Source organism: Homo sapiens, chromosome 17 (genome assembly GCF_000001405.40).
Source record: "Homo sapiens chromosome 17, GRCh38.p14 Primary Assembly".
Lineage (NCBI taxonomy): Eukaryota > Metazoa > Chordata > Mammalia > Primates > Hominidae > Homo > Homo sapiens.
This window is the reverse complement of record NC_000017.11, coordinates 50464377-50478625: the sequence shown is the minus strand read 5'-3', so window position 1 is coordinate 50478625 and position 14249 is coordinate 50464377. Positions and strand designations below refer to the sequence as shown.

The 14249-nt window shown below is 55.8% G+C and overlaps 2 protein-coding genes across 16 annotated transcripts in view, besides 2 other annotated features; one reads left to right on the top strand and one right to left on the bottom strand.

Moving 5' to 3' along the window:
- The window catches only part of ACSF2 (acyl-CoA synthetase family member 2), a 48628-nt gene continuing 38159 nt past the window's right edge, over positions 3781-14249 (bottom strand). For 6 of the 13 annotated variants that reach the window (NM_001288968.2, NM_025149.6, NM_001288969.2 and 3 more), the window contains 6 exons: positions 7491-7598; positions 6047-6198; positions 4820-4961; positions 4622-4732; positions 4359-4427; positions 3789-4124 (listed from right to left, as the gene is read on the bottom strand). In NM_001288968.2, the coding sequence (NP_001275897.1) occupies positions 4074-4124; positions 4359-4427; positions 4622-4732; positions 4820-4961; positions 6047-6198; positions 7491-7598 (633 nt within the window). In that variant the 3' untranslated portion in view covers positions 3789-4073. Of the gene's footprint in view, positions 4125-4358; positions 4428-4621; positions 4733-4819; positions 4962-6046; positions 6199-6227; positions 6258-7490; positions 7599-10193; positions 10298-14026; positions 14101-14249 lie in introns of those variants that run through there. The other 7 variants (XM_011525294.3, NR_110232.1, XR_007065473.1 and 4 more) reach the window with 7 other exon arrangements.
- Positions 8873-9830: an enhancer, noted in NCBI's record as "H3K27ac-H3K4me1 hESC enhancer chr17:48546157-48547114 (GRCh37/hg19 assembly coordinates)". NCBI's record gives its function as "activates a minimal SCP1, AML or CMV promoter by ChIP-STARR-seq in naive and primed H9 embryonic stem cells {active_cell/tissue: H9 hESC(naive and primed)}" and the evidence as "EXISTENCE:reporter gene assay evidence [ECO:0000049][PMID:30033119]".
- CHAD (chondroadherin) lies at positions 9746-14130 on the top strand. 3 transcript variants are annotated; one of them, NM_001267.3, is made up of 4 exons: positions 9746-10586; positions 12756-12919; positions 13187-13332; positions 13577-14130. In NM_001267.3, the coding sequence occupies exons 1-3, from the start codon at positions 9813-9815 to the stop codon at positions 13326-13328; spliced, it is 1080 nt and encodes a 359-aa protein (NP_001258.2). In that variant the 5' UTR covers positions 9746-9812; the 3' UTR covers positions 13329-13332; positions 13577-14130. The 3 variants fall into 3 exon arrangements, with proteins under 3 accessions (NP_001258.2, XP_011522516.2, XP_047291129.1); XM_011524214.3 differs by having other exon boundaries at positions 13187-13343; XM_047435173.1 differs by having other exon boundaries at positions 13187-14130.
- Positions 9831-10789: an enhancer, noted in NCBI's record as "H3K27ac-H3K4me1 hESC enhancer chr17:48545198-48546156 (GRCh37/hg19 assembly coordinates)". NCBI's record gives its function as "activates a minimal SCP1, AML or CMV promoter by ChIP-STARR-seq in naive H9 embryonic stem cells {active_cell/tissue: H9 hESC(naive)}" and the evidence as "EXISTENCE:reporter gene assay evidence [ECO:0000049][PMID:30033119]".

Here is a 14249-nt window from a genome sequence, read left to right as displayed (position 1 = left end):
TAGTTTGTTCAGTCAATTCCTTGACATTTGATGTGCCTGGCTCAGAACTGGGCGCTGGGGACATCTAGGTGCATAAAGCCAGGTTGCATTCTGGCAGGAGAGAGGCAAGCCAACCGGCCAGGACAGGCAAGGCGTATTAATTCCGTGCCTGCTGGACACCAGAGCCGTCCGCCTCAGTGCTGTGAGGTCATCTGTTTTAAGAGTGTGGGAGTCAGTAGGGCAGAAGAGACACTTGGGCTGGATCTTTCTTTTAATTTCATTTACAAATATTTGGGAGAGGGGAGGTCTTGAACTCCTCGGCCTCAAGCGATCCTCCTGCCTCAGCATCTAGAGTAACTAAGGATTAAGGGCATGAGCCACCACCAGGGCTATGCACGGGATCTTGGAGGAGCAGAAAATCCCAGGGGCAATTGGCTTGGCCGGGAGAGTAGACTGTTTTGGGTCAGGCCAACCCAAGCATCTGGAGGTGTACGTGCTGGAAGGACAGTCAGATGGTGTGTGTAGGAGAGAGGGGGAAGGCGCAGGGGAAGGCCTGGGGAAGCAGGCACCTGAACAACTGTCCCACAAAGCAGAAACATCATGGGCTTCAGAGGCAGGCGGTGCAGGACAGTTCTCCCAGTGGCCTTGAACTGACCTGGTTCTCCCCTCCTTTCTTGCTTGTAGTTCTCAAGAATAACTGTAGACGCCTGTAATCCCAGCACTTTGGGAGGCCGAGGCGGGCAGATCACTTGAGATCAGAAGTTCAAGACCAGCCTAGCCAACATGCTGAAACCCCGTCTTTACCAAAAATACAAAAATTATCCAAGCGTGGTGGTGGGCACCTGTAATCCCAGCTACACGGGAGGCTGAGCAGGGAGAATCCCTCGAACCTGGGAGGCGGAGGTTGCAGTGAGCTGAGACAGTGCCACTGCACTCCAGCCTGGGTGATGGAGCAAGACTGTCTCAATAAATAAATAAATAAAACTGTAGAGTGTGCAGAGAATGCAACATCCTGAGGGAAGGAAGGACTGGCCAGCACAGCCATGCTCTGTTCCAGTCCCCCTAGAAAAAGCATGTCCTTCAACACTTCAGCCCAACATGTCACATGGCCCCAGGGTATAAAGCCCAGGGCAGAAGCCGGGCGCGGTGGCTTACTCCTGTAATCCCAGCACTTTGGGAGGCCGATGCGGGCGGATCATAAGGTCAGGAGATTGAGACCATCCTGGCTAACACGGTGAAACCCCGTTTTTACTAAAAATACAAAAAACTAGCCAGGTGTGGTGGTGCGTGCCAGTAGTCCCAGCTACCCGGGAGGCTGAGGCAGGAGAATTGCTTGAACCTGGGAGGCGGAAGTTGCAGTGAGCCCAGATGGCGACACTGCACTCCAGCCTGGGAGACAGAGTGAGACTCTGTATCAAACAAACAAACAAACAAACGAAAAACAGGGCGGGCTGGTTTCTGGGGTCCCTCAGCTTCAGTACAAGTCTGGCTGGCTGGGCGTGGTGGCCCATGCCTGTTATCACAACACTTTGGGAGGCCGAGGCGGGTGGATCACCTGAGGTCAGAAGTTCAAGACCAGCCTGGCCAACATGGCGAAACTGTTTCTACTAAAAAAAAAAAAAATAGCTGGACGTGGTAGTGCACGCCTGTAATCCCAGCTACCAGGGAGGCTGAGGCAGGAAAATTGCTTGAATCCCAGGGTTCACACCACTGCACTCCAGCCCGGGTGAAAGAGCGAGACTCCATCTCACAACAAACCAACAACAAAAAAAAAAGTCAGGCATGCACAGACAACGGTCCATCCCCCAGCTGCCTCAGCAGCTTTCCTGAGCCGTAGGGGTCCAGCTCCAAATGAATCCCAGCCTTCTGTTGTCCCTTAGTGCCTACCTATAGGTAATAAACACGTTGCATGTCACTTGTGTTTGCCTCGCTGGACTCAGCGTTATGTAACTTGTGGGTGTTTGCCTCACTGGACTCTGACAAGTTGGTAACTAGTGTGCAGTGAACCTGCCTAACAGACAGCTGGGTTCTGATCCAGCTGTGTGACCTTGAGCAAGATACGGAACCTCCCTGAGTTTCTGTTGGGTCATTGGTGAAGTGGGACCAATGGCTACTTGAAAGGATTGTTGGGAAGATTTGGAGAGAAAATAATGTGAAAGTACCTAGCACAGAGCCTGGTACTGAAAATACCTTAAACCTATGTTCATTTCTTAAAAAGTCAAGAGGAGGCTGCTGCTGCCTTGGGCAGGCACGCTGGGAGGTAAGGGGGCAGGCACGCTGCGAGGTAAGGGGGCAGGCGCGCTGCGAGGTAAGGGGGCAGGCGCGCTGGGAGGTAAGGGGGCAGGCGCGCTGCGAGGTAAGGGGGCAGGCGCGCTGGGAGGTAAGGGGGCAGGCGCGCTGCGAGGTAAGGGGGCAGGCGCGCTGCGAGGTAAGGGGGCAGGCGCGCTGGGAGGTAAGGGGGCAGGAGCGCTGCGAGGTAAGGGGGCAGGCGCGCTGCGAGGTAAGGGGGCAGGCGCGCTGGGAGGTAAGGGGGCAGGCGCGCTGGGAGGTAAGGGGGCAGGCGCGCTGGGAGGTAAGGGGGCAGGCAGGAGGCAAGTTTCCATTCCTGTGAACTGGGAATCTATGTGCCTTTTGGAACCCAGCTGTTTTTATTTCTTGGGTCAAGGTACAACCTGCTTTATCTGGCCCTGCCTACGAGGGATGCCCCAGGTTCACCAATCAAAACAAATAAAAACTAAAAATGAGGTTGGTTGGGGAGGAAGGGGGCTGGGAGATGGGAGATAATAGTTAAAGAGTATGGGGTTTCTTTCTTAGGTGATGACAATATTTAAAATTGACTGTGGTGATAGTTACACATATTTGTGAATATACTAAAGACCACTGAATTCTATACTTTAAATGGTAGATTGTCCCAGCACTTTGAGAGACTGAGGCAGGAGGATTGCTTGAGCCCATGAGTTCTAGACCAGCCTAGGCAACATAGCAAGATCCTGTGTCTATGTTTAAAAATTAGTTAAGACATGGTGGCACATTCCTACAGTCCCAGCTACTCAGGAGGCTGAGGTGGGAGGACTGCTTGAGCCCAGGAGTTCGAGGCTGCAGTGAGCTATGATCATGTCGCTACAGTGAGTCACTGCACTCCAGCACGGGTGACGGAATGAGATCCTGTCTCTAGAAAATGGGGGAGGTGGGAGTGAACTGGAGAGTATGTGAATTACATCTCAATCAAGCTGTTATACATATATAAAAAGAATACTTCTTGCTAGACTAATCTGGCAACAATGTGAAAAAGAATTAAATTAGAGTAGCTTAAAAATAAAAAATTGGGGCCAGGCGCAGTGGTTCATGCCTGTAATCCCAGCACTTTGGTAGGCTGAGGCAGGCGGATTGCTTGAGGTCAGGAGTTTGAGGACCAGCCTGGCCAACATGGTAAAACCTCGCCTCTACTAAAAATACAAAAGTTAGTTGGGTGTGGTGGTGGGTATCTGCAATCCCAGTTACTTGGGAGGGTGAGGAAGGAGAATCACTTGAATTAGGGAGGCAGAGGTTGCAGTGAGCTGAGATCGCATGACTACACTCCAGCCTGGGTGACAGGGCAAGACTCTGTCTCAAAAAACAAGAACAACAACAAAAATGGGTTGGTATCTCAAAGGGATACCAAGGGTGAGGGTTAAATTAAGTAGATAATCCACATCAAGGTGCTCTGCACTCTCAATGACAAGGAATAGGACGTCTGAAAGTGCTAGTTCCCCTCAGTGTCTTCCCTTCTCCATCCTGTAGTAGCTGCCAAGAGAGCCCACCAGCAAGAAGCCAAAGAAAACAGAAGCTCTTTATGCCAAATCACAAGGACAGACAGGGGAATGTGGGGGATGGACAGGAGGGAGGGCCTGGGCAGGCTGCCTGCCTTTTGGCACCTTGTGCCCAGGCGAGTTCCCGGACCCATCCAGGAGCTCTTAGTTCGTTCAGTCAATTCCTTGACATTTGATGTGCCTGGCTCAGAACTGGGTGCTGGGGACATCTAGGTGCATAAAGCCAGGTTGCATTCTGACAGGAGAGAGTCAAGCCAACCGGCCAGGACAGGCCTGCTGCTTTATTCACAGATTTAGATGTCGTTCCATCTGCTCTCGAAGTTTGAATTTCTGGATCTAGAGGAAAGAAAATGGAGTTAGGGTTACCAGCTGTCTTGGTTCACCCAAGAATAAGGGGTTTCTCAGGCTCTTAGTGCCAAAACAGGGAAAGTCCCCAGGCAAACCAGGATTAGGTGACCCGGTCACCCTACTGCCAGTCTCTCCACACCCATTGCTGAAGGAAACAGAGGTGGGGCCCTATGGGGCCCCAGAGCCCAGGCTGCCCTCCCCAGCCTCCTCCACCTTACACACCTTTCCTGAAATGGTGAGGGGGTAGTTTGTGACAAACACGATGTACTTCGGAATCTTGAAGTGAGAGATCTGCAGACCAGAGGGAGGGAGGTAAGGCGTGAGGCTGCGCAAGCTCACAGGGGTATGGGTAGGGGACCAGGGGCTGGCCTGGCCAGGAGTCAGCTTCGTCAAGGGCAGAGCAATCCCCACCCTGGGCTGGTTGGCAGAGGAGTGGGTGAGCAAAGAACAGAGCAGCATCAGCTAGGTTGAGCGGAGGCTCCCACCTTCCCTTTGCAGAAAGCTTTTATCTCCTCCACCGTGGTCTCCTCCCCGTCCTTCAGCCGAATGCAGGCACAAATCTCTTCCCCCATCCGATCGTCCTTCACTCCCACCACCTTCCAGGGCCAAAGAAAAATATCAGACATCACCGTGTTCATGTGTGTTTCTTGTTTCTGGGGGCTCACCTGAGCCAAGTGCCTCACCTGCACTTCCTGCACCTTCGGGTGTGTGTGAAAGAAGTCCTCGAGCTCTGCGGGGTAGATGTTCTCACCACCCCGGATGATCATATCCTTAGAGCGGCCCACGATCTTGCAGAAGCCCTGCTCATTCATTGTGGCGACATCTCTGTAAGGAAAGCCCAGGGGCAACCTGTCATCTCTGCCTTGTTCACTCACTTGCTTGCTCAGTCGTGAAACATTTATTGACCAGCTACTATGTGTCTTCCACTGCTCTAGACTCTGGGAGACATAGCAGGAACAAGACACAGTCTCTGGAATTAATAGTCCAGTAAGGGGAGGGGAGGTAGACAAAAACAAAACAATACCTATAACATATTCTGTCTCTCTCAACACATCTATACATAGCTTTTCACGACTGGCTTCTTTCCAGGTCTCAGCTCAAATGTCTCCAGACATCTTCTCTGTCCACTCAATCTAAGGGAAGCTCCCCTCCCCACCACAGCCACTTTCTCTCCTATAACCCTATTTCATTTTCTTAGTGTTTTTTGTTTGTTCATTTGCTTGTTTGTTTTTGAGATGGAGTCCTGCTCTGTCGCCCAGTCTTGAGTGCAGTGGCGCGATCTCGGTTCACTGCAACCTCCATCTCCTGGGTTACAGCGATTCTCCTGCCTCAGCCTCCGAGTAGCTGGGACTACAGGCACGTGCCGCCACCACGTCCGGCTAATTTTTGTATTTTTAGTAGAGGTGGGGTTTCACTGTGTTGGCCAGGCTGGTCTCAAACTTCTGACTTCAGGTGATCCACCCGCCTCGGCCTCCCAAACTGCTGAGATTACAGGTGTGAGTCACCGCGCCTGGCCTATTTTCTTGGTGTTATTTATCGATGTTGGGCATCATCTGTCTTCCTCCAAAAAGCAGGATCCTTCTCATCTTACTTTCCTCTGGACCTCTAGCGGCGAGAACGGTGCTAGCACATAAGGAATTCTAGTAAGAATTTGCTGAGCTAACAAATGAGTGACTGAATCTGGACTCAGATTTTGCAGCTGCTGGTGTAGGGTGATGACCCAGTTGCTTTCTTCTGTGCTATGTATGATCATCCCCACCGTATACATTTTGGAAATTAAGACTCCAGCATGTGAGGGGTCATCTTGATACCCACATCCTCACGGTGCCAGGTTAATGTTCCCGGCTCAGCCTCAAGACCTCCAGCCTCCCCTCAGCGGCCAGAGCCTCCACCCCGCCCTGCCTTCTCACCCTGTCCAATACCACTTGTCCTGATCCACTGCTTCCTCTGTCTTCTGAGGCTCACCCCAGTAGCCCAGCATGACGCAGTACCCTCGGATGCACAGCTCCCCGGGCGTGTTCAGCTTTGCCAGCGTCCCTGCCTCCATGTTCATGATCCGGGCCTGGGACAGGATGGCCTCAGGTTGGGGCTTCCTATCCTCTTGCTTCAGGATAGGTGGTCCTTGGAAATGGAGAGAGCTTTGCCTGCCCCCAACCCCCCAACCCAACTGCCTGGAATGAGGCCCCCTGGCTCTGCTTATCCCCATCCAGAGAAGGGAGACAAAGGCTAGAGTCGACCCAAAGCCAGTGAGAGACCTGAGCTGGGCATGAAAGAAGAGCTGAGTCCCAGGCTGGGAGGGCTGAGGAAACAGAGTGGGCAGGCAGCTGCTGCAAAGAAAGAGGTTTGTGGACTGCAGAGCCAGCTGAAGAATTATAAACCGTGCAGAGGAGAAGGGAGTCTCCTCTTACTTCCCATTAAGCAGCAAATAAGCCAAACAGGGTGGCATGGCAACACCATGTGAACAGGAGAGACAGAGTCTGAAAGCCTGGTAGAGAAAAGAGCCACGGCCACCGTGCCAAGGAAAGCTGAGCCTCTGTGTGCCTCAGTGTCTGTGTCCGTGAAATGGGGTGAGTGATGCCTGCCCCTGTTTCCCTTCCAGGTGGGCATCTTAGTGACAGTGGCAGTGCAGCTGTAGCACACACGGGAGGAGGCTCACATCCCTACTCAATCCCTGGGTACATGGTTGCTCTGGCGGGAGGGCAGGGCAGATTCACGCCAGGACAGCGGTCAGCCCCAGGGGAAGCAGCTGCTTGTGCACGGGGGCAGCGATCCCCCAGGGGCGGGAGCAGAAGGGTGCAGGGGAAATCAGGAGCCAGCTGGCACAGCCCCAGTGTTGGAGCAGGAAAGGAGGCATGGCTGGGCATTTGAGATTCAGGTGCACTCTGGGGCAACCTTTGAGGGGCAAAGGGACCGCCCCAAAGGGATAGGCTGCTTGGGAAATGAAGTGTTTACGCCAAGCAAGAAGAAGAACTCTGCTAAAGCGAGAGGCGAGCACCACTGGAGGAAAAGAAGCTGTGTAGGAAAACTCTCTGTGCTCTGGCTCCTCTTTGAGGCTACCCTGGCTGCCCTGAAACAGACAGTGGGCTTGGCAAAAACACACCTCAGACAGGAAGGGAGGCCGCGGAGAAGTTCAGCTGGCAGCCGCTCACAGCCACTGTTCCAGCTCTTCCCCTTTCATGCTTAGCCCACAGAGAACACTCCGGGCCAGGCCTAGCACACCCCTGCTGCTGGGGGGCTCTAGGCATCCTGAGTGAGCCATTTGACTCTCTCACTGAAAGCAACCGATGTCCCAGCTGGGTGCACCCCAGCTGGGTGACGGGAGGTGGGACTTTGGAGTCTTGGTCAGGGGCTCACCTCCGTGTGAGGCATAATTCTGCCCACGCTTTCTGCCTTCTGCTCCACAGTGTCCTCAGGGAAGTGCGCGAATGTCACGGGACTGTTCTCTGTGGTTCCATAAGCAACCTAGAGGGTCCAGAAAGGGTGTTTGAAGAGGGCTCAGCACGTGCAGAGGGATCAGGTGAGCTATCTGAGGAAATGGGAAGGAATTCATAAAAGAAAAGGGAAAGTGGAGGGCAGCCGAATGGTGGAAACAGAGACATCATTGGTAGGGGCCTGGGGTCAGGAGGCAGAGGTGCTGGGAGTGAGCAGACTAGATCTCTGCAGGGCCCCAGATCTGAAAGAAAATTGAGAGCAGGGACACCATTCTCTTCCAGCTGGAGCTCTCTCAGTGCCCCGTTTCCCTGGAGCAGCCACCTGTCTGTGCCTGTGGCTCCGGTATTACCAACACCCCACACTTCTCCCCCCATCCCCTGGCTGCCTTAACCCCACCTTCCTGATTTCAGGCCACATCCCCGGCTCCTCCCTTCCAAGCTGAAGGCCCCATAAACTTGATGAGAAAGCCAGCCTGCCTTGGCCCAGCTAGGAGTGGCACAGACACAACCCCACCCCCGCATTCTGCAAACCCTGAACAAGTGCCTGGCCTTGGGGCAGGCGTCCCCCAAGCTCTGGAGAGTTTCCCGTGAATTTATTTCCATCAAAATAAAAAAACAACCTAAGCAGTGATTTTAAAAACCAGTGGTACCCCCACCCCACCTCCCCCATTTCCAGTGGTTGGAAAGCCTGAGCAACAGAAAAACCAGAAGCCAGCCTTGGAGAAGCCTAAATACCATCAAGGAATGGTCTAGGCCAAGTATGACCCTCCTATCCTAGAGGCAAGGGGCAGAGAGGTTTGGGAAAAGGGCAGGCCCTGGAAACCAGGCCCCAACACGAGGGTACTGGGTAAGGGAAGAGAGGCTAGTTACCCCGTATCCTAGGTCCCCTTTAATCAACGGATACCAGATCTCATCCATCCTCCTCCCTGCACCAAGCTTCCCCCATATCAGCTGCTCTGGCTCTGGCACGGCTGGGGTTTGGTTCAATGTGGGTTCTGGTTTCTCCTTCCACCCCTCATCACAGACAATATCCTGTGCCAGGCAGCTTGGAGCTCACCCTGAGGCCAGAGCTGTGACCCTGCCTGCTCACCCTCCCCTTTCCACAGGAATCCGGACATCGTGGCTGGCAAGTGGGCACACAGAAATCTGGCGGGCTGGGGCGGGACTGCCCACAGAACTTAGGGTCTGGCAGCCAGAGCCGTCCAGGGCTGGTCCCTCGACCTGCCCCACCCCCTCCCGCACCCCTCCTCACAGTCCTGGGGCCACCGCCCGAATGTGGCATCTGCCAAGTACACCTCGGCGCCACTCAGCCGCCACCCTGAGACCCCTCAGGGGCGGGTCCTGACCACTAGGGTTGGGGATGAGGGATGGAGATATTTCGGGGCGATGAAGGAGGGGGGATGGTGCGACTGTGCTTGTGGCCTGTGGTTTCCAGGTGTGTTTGCCATTCCTGTGGGCCACTCTCCCCCACTTCCCACTTCTCTGCTTAGCCTTCAGCGGTGGAAAAAGGGGATGAGGGCGCCGGCGACAGAAACGCAAGCGGGGTTGGAAGAGAGGGGTGGGGGCGCGCCCGAGGGTGGGGAAGGAGCTCGGGTCTACCCAGGGCCAGCTTCGGCGCGTCGAGTCTGAAGTGGGAGACCGACGCCGGGGCGGCTCTCACGCTCGGCAGGCGCCGCACAAGCGCCCCTTTAAAGCGCAGGCAGCTGGCCCACCGCAGGGAGACGCATCCAGCTGTCCGGCCCCGCTTCCTCCCGCCTCGCATCCAGGGCACCCGGCCGAGCGTGTGTGGATGGCGCGGCGTGGAGGCTCAAACCTGAGCAAACAAATAAGTTGAGGGAACGCCTCCCTCTCTCCGATGTAAACTCGGGGCTCCAGACATAACTATTCCCCCTTCCCAGAAAAGCCCCGGGAAAGGCGGTAGGCAGAGGAGCACCATAGGAGAGCGGGGGGCTACAGCCGGGGCTCAGGGCTCGGGGCTCGGGGGCCACGGTCCCACCCCCTCATGCACGGTAGCCGGCTGGGGGAACGGCCCCGCCCCCTTCCCCGTGGAGGGCGGGGGCGCATCTCTGGGCGCGAGCGAGTTAAGCCCAGTGGCCTCGATGCTCCACGTAGGAGCTGGCTCGGCTGCCGGCTGCGGTCAGGGCCACCGTATAAAGAGGGCGGCAGACCCGAGCGCCTAGGACTCGCCGCTGCCCGCGCCCCGCCGCCGCTGCTGCCCCCAGCCCCGGCCCCAGGCGTCCCAGCCATGGTCCGCCCAATGCTCTTGCTCAGCCTCGGCCTCCTGGCTGGTCTGCTGCCGGCGCTGGCCGCCTGCCCCCAGAACTGCCACTGCCACAGCGACCTGCAGCACGTCATCTGCGACAAGGTGGGGCTGCAGAAGATCCCCAAGGTGTCAGAGAAGACCAAGCTGCTCAACCTACAGCGCAACAACTTCCCGGTGCTGGCTGCCAATTCGTTCCGGGCCATGCCGAACCTCGTGTCATTGCACCTGCAGCACTGCCAGATCCGCGAGGTGGCCGCCGGTGCCTTCCGCGGCCTCAAGCAACTTATCTACTTGTACCTGTCCCATAACGACATCCGCGTGCTGCGCGCAGGTGCCTTCGACGACCTGACCGAGCTGACCTACCTCTACCTGGACCACAACAAGGTCACTGAGCTGCCCCGGGGGTTGCTCTCCCCGCTGGTCAACCTCTTCATCTTGCAGCTCAACAACAACAAGATCCGTGAGCTGCGCGCAGGCGCCTTCCAGGGAGCCAAGGACCTGCGCTGGCTCTACCTGTCGGAAAACGCGTTGAGCTCCCTGCAGCCCGGGGCCCTGGACGACGTGGAGAACCTCGCCAAATTCCACGTGGACAGGAACCAGCTGTCCAGCTACCCCTCAGCTGCCCTGAGCAAGCTACGGGTGGTGGAGGAGCTGAAGCTGTCCCACAACCCCCTGAAAAGCATCCCGGACAATGCCTTCCAGTCCTTTGGCAGATACCTGGAGACCCTCTGGCTGGACAACACCAACCTGGAGAAGGTGAGCTCCTGGCTGTGGGCTCTGCCCTGGTTCCTTCTTCCCTTCCTGGAGGCCCCAGGAGCCAGGGCCACAGCTGGCACCATCCCCCGTCCCCAGGTTCCCTGTCCCTCTGGCTATCTCCAAGGTGAGCAGCTCTGCCACCTCCCTTCCTCGCCTTGTCACATCCCTACCCTAATCCCTGTCTGCTGCCAGTCTCGACCACTGCCCTCCTAGGATTCTTACATATAAAAGGAGTGGGACTGCCCTGGCCCCACAAAAGGCCCCCTAGGGCCATCTCCAGTGCTTCCAAACCCCCAACTGTGAGCAGCAGCCACCTCTTCCTGTTGGGCCTTCCACCCCTCCTCTGCTGTTTTTCCCGTCTCCAGTAAACCTACCACCCCATAAAGGAAGGTTTGTTTATTGAGGAGCCTTCCAGAGGAGCTGGGCAGATCAGGCCCACAAAGAGACCCTGTTCCTGGTGGGGGCTGTGCATGTGTGCTAAGGGGGAGTGGGGGACTGGGGAGTGAGGGGAAGCAAATGCCTGAGGAAGACATTCTCCATGCCCCATAGAGGCCCTGGTGGATGGCCCTGCCCAATCCACACAGACACAATTCACTGCATTCTCAAGTCCATTGCAGCTCAGTAGGCGTGGGACCAAGGGCTCCCCCAGGATGCAAGCATCGTGCCCATGGGCTCCGTGAAGGGGCAAAGGCAAGACCACTATTGTCAATCCTTGGCCCAAGACCCCAGGTGTCTCTCCACAGAGAAGACTGGCGTGACTCACTGTCTCCAGACTGCTAACTGCCCTTTGCCCTCCTCCGTCACTAGACCCATCTCCTGTCTGCATCCTCACTCATTCCTTTCTCCCCTGGGGTGCCCAGTGTCTGGCCAGGTGGGGCTACCTTGGATCAGAGCAGAATCCCTTCTCTGGGACTGGAAAAATCACCCTGGTACAGGGGCTTCAGCCAGGAGGTTTGGGTGGGGAACCAACAAGGTAGAGGAGAGTCTGGTTACTGGAGACCTTCATACCTCAATGTGGGCCACAGGAAAGGGTGCGGGTGTGGAGATGTGGGCAGAATCTCACTTGGGCAGCAGCCAACCTTTGTCTGGGTGGAAGGAGCCTGCTCAAGCCTGCCCTTCTTCAGCCCTGCCTCTCCCCAGCTGAAGTTGGAGTCCCCTGTGGCCCACCAGTGCCAGAGTGGTCTTTCAGTGGGCAGCAGAGCAGCGAATTAGGGGCTGGTTTGGGGCAGGGGAGGCCAGACAGGAATTGTGGCGCCTGGGCAAAGGTGTGGGCACCAATAGAACATTTCCTCTGGAGCCGTCCAACCTGGCCAAAGGCTCCACCAAGGTGGCTTCACAAATAGCGTCTGGCTGGCAGTGGGGGAGCAGTGAGGACAGAGCTGAGGGAAGTCCTGGGACCCTGGGACTGTGGGGAGCCTGGGCCCACTGCCCACTCCACCAAGCACAGACCAAGTTCACCGTGTACCAGTTTGGATTGCTGGGGCCAAACTCTGGCAGCCCCACAGTCCCAGTGTTTGTGCAGGGATTGTGGTGCCAGGGGAAGAGGAGCTGGGTGTGGTCCTGTGGCTACTGTTTACCCACTGCTGTGACCCAGGGCAAAGGACTGCGCTTTTTCCGTTTCCCCATTTGCATATTGAAAATAACACCACCTGGCTGGGCGTGGTGGCTCACGCCTGTAATCCCAGCACTTTGGGAGGCTGAGGCGGGTAGATCACGAGGTCAGGAGATCGAGACCATCCTGGCTAACATGGTGAAACTGCGTCTCTACTAAAAAAATACAAAAAAATTAGCCGGGCATGGTGGCGGGCACTTGTAGTCCCAGCTACTCAGGAGGCTGAGGCCGGAGAATGGCGTGAACCCGGGAGGCGGAGCTTGCAGTGAGCTGAGATCGTGCCACTGTGCTCCAGCCTGGGCAACACAGTGAGACTCCATCTCAAAAAAAAAAAAAGGAAAAAAAAAAAAAAAAGAAAATAACACCATCTGTCTCAAAGGGGGTTGTGTAGATTGGATTATCTGAGATCACTTGGTCATACTGCTTTGAAAACTGGGAAACTCCTCAAAGTGCTATGGCTCAGGTTCAGGGAAGGATCCTGCCCCTCTGGCACTCGGGTGCTTACTCATTCACTCATGACCACCTTGCTCCCACCTTGCTCCCACCTTGCTCCCCAGTTCTCAGATGGTGCCTTCCTGGGTGTAACCACGCTGAAACACGTCCATTTGGAGAACAACCGCTTGAACCAGCTACCCTCCAACTTCCCCTTCGACAGCCTGGAGACCCTCGCCCTTACCAATAACCCCTGGAAGTGTACCTGCCAGCTCCGGGGCCTTCGGCGGTAAGAACACTTCCATGTCACTCCCAGAGCCCACCCTCATGTGATAGAGGCACATTAGCCCTGCACTAAGACATGTTGGACATGCATCCTAGATCTGCTACCTAATAAGCATGGGACCCTGGGAGCCTCAGTTTCCCCATTTGTAAAATGAAGATGACAGCTTCAGACTATCCTGTGGCCAAGTCAATCCTGGCCCCATAGTTCACTGCCCTTCCCCCCAGCACTCCCACCTTCTTCCCCAGCCCCAGCAAGTTTCTGTCTCTCCAGGTGGCTGGAAGCCAAGGCCTCCCGCCCAGATGCCACCTGTGCCTCACCTGCCAAGTTCAAGGGCCAGCACATCCGTGACACGGACGCCTTCCGCAGCTGCAAGTTCCCCACCAAGAGGTCCAAGAAAGCTGGCCGCCATTAAACAGGTGGGGGCCAGGTAAACAGGTCCCCTATGTCCCTCTTTGGTGATTCCAGCAAGTGAGCTGGTATCTTCCAGGATACCCCCTGGCCCTGGAGGGTCAGGCAGACCCTCCATTTTTACAGAGAGAGGAGGGGACGACTGGGTCCCCTGTTGAAGGGAGGAAAAGGTCCTGCCCAGGACTTCCACCATTTTCTTCAAGCATCATCTGTGTTGTTGGAGTACTGACATCGATCTTTGCCTCTTTGCAGGTTCTGACCCAGCCAGTCCTGGTGACTGGCCTCTGCCTTCCACCGGAGAGACTACTGACCTTCTCACCTCCACCCATACCTTCTCCCCACAGCCTCTGCTGATGCACAGAGCTGCCTACACCTAGACACGTCCTGGCAGGGGGCCTCGGGCACTCCACTACCAACCCAGCTCCACCCAGCAGTGTCCTGGGGAGAAGGAAGGCTGAGCCTCTCCCCAGCCTTCATGCCTTCCCCACCCTCCAGCTCCTCTTGGAGAAGCTGTTGCTGAGACCCCCCCCCCAAGTCAATCAGAACCACAACAGGTTGGTCATCAGGATGGCCACCCTCCCAGGATCATCCTTCCTCTGTTCCTCTTTCCCTGCCACGTGGAAACAATCATCAGATCCTTGCCCCACCCCTTGCTTCCAGAAAGGGTTTTAAAGCCCATGCCCCAACTCTGCCAGCCCCCACCTGCCAGGACGTTCTAGCAGGACATCGGTGCTTTGCTGTCCATCTTCCCATGCTGCAATTTCTTCCTGAGATTTCTATAAATATAAATGTATGTATGTATTATATTTACTCCCCTGCCACCTATCTCCTTCACCCACCAGGTGCTGATGAGGTCAGACTATCTTTTCTCACATCTGCTTTCTGGAAGGAGGGCTGGCTGAGAGGGTCTCCTTTGAACATCTGG

What these genes read in the sequence shown, in the direction of transcription:
- CHAD (NM_001267.3), top strand. Translation starts at nt 9,813, where the DNA reads ATGGTCCGCCCAATGCTCTTGCTCAGCCTCGGCCTCCTGGCTGGTCTG. An exon ending in ACAACACCAACCTGGAGAAG is followed by an intron (nt 10,587 to 12,755) that starts GTGAGCTCCTGG and finishes CTTGCTCCCCAG; the next exon opens with TTCTCAGATGGTGCCTTCCT. An exon ending in CAGCTCCGGGGCCTTCGGCG is followed by an intron (nt 12,920 to 13,186) that starts GTAAGAACACTT and finishes CTGTCTCTCCAG; the next exon opens with GTGGCTGGAAGCCAAGGCCT.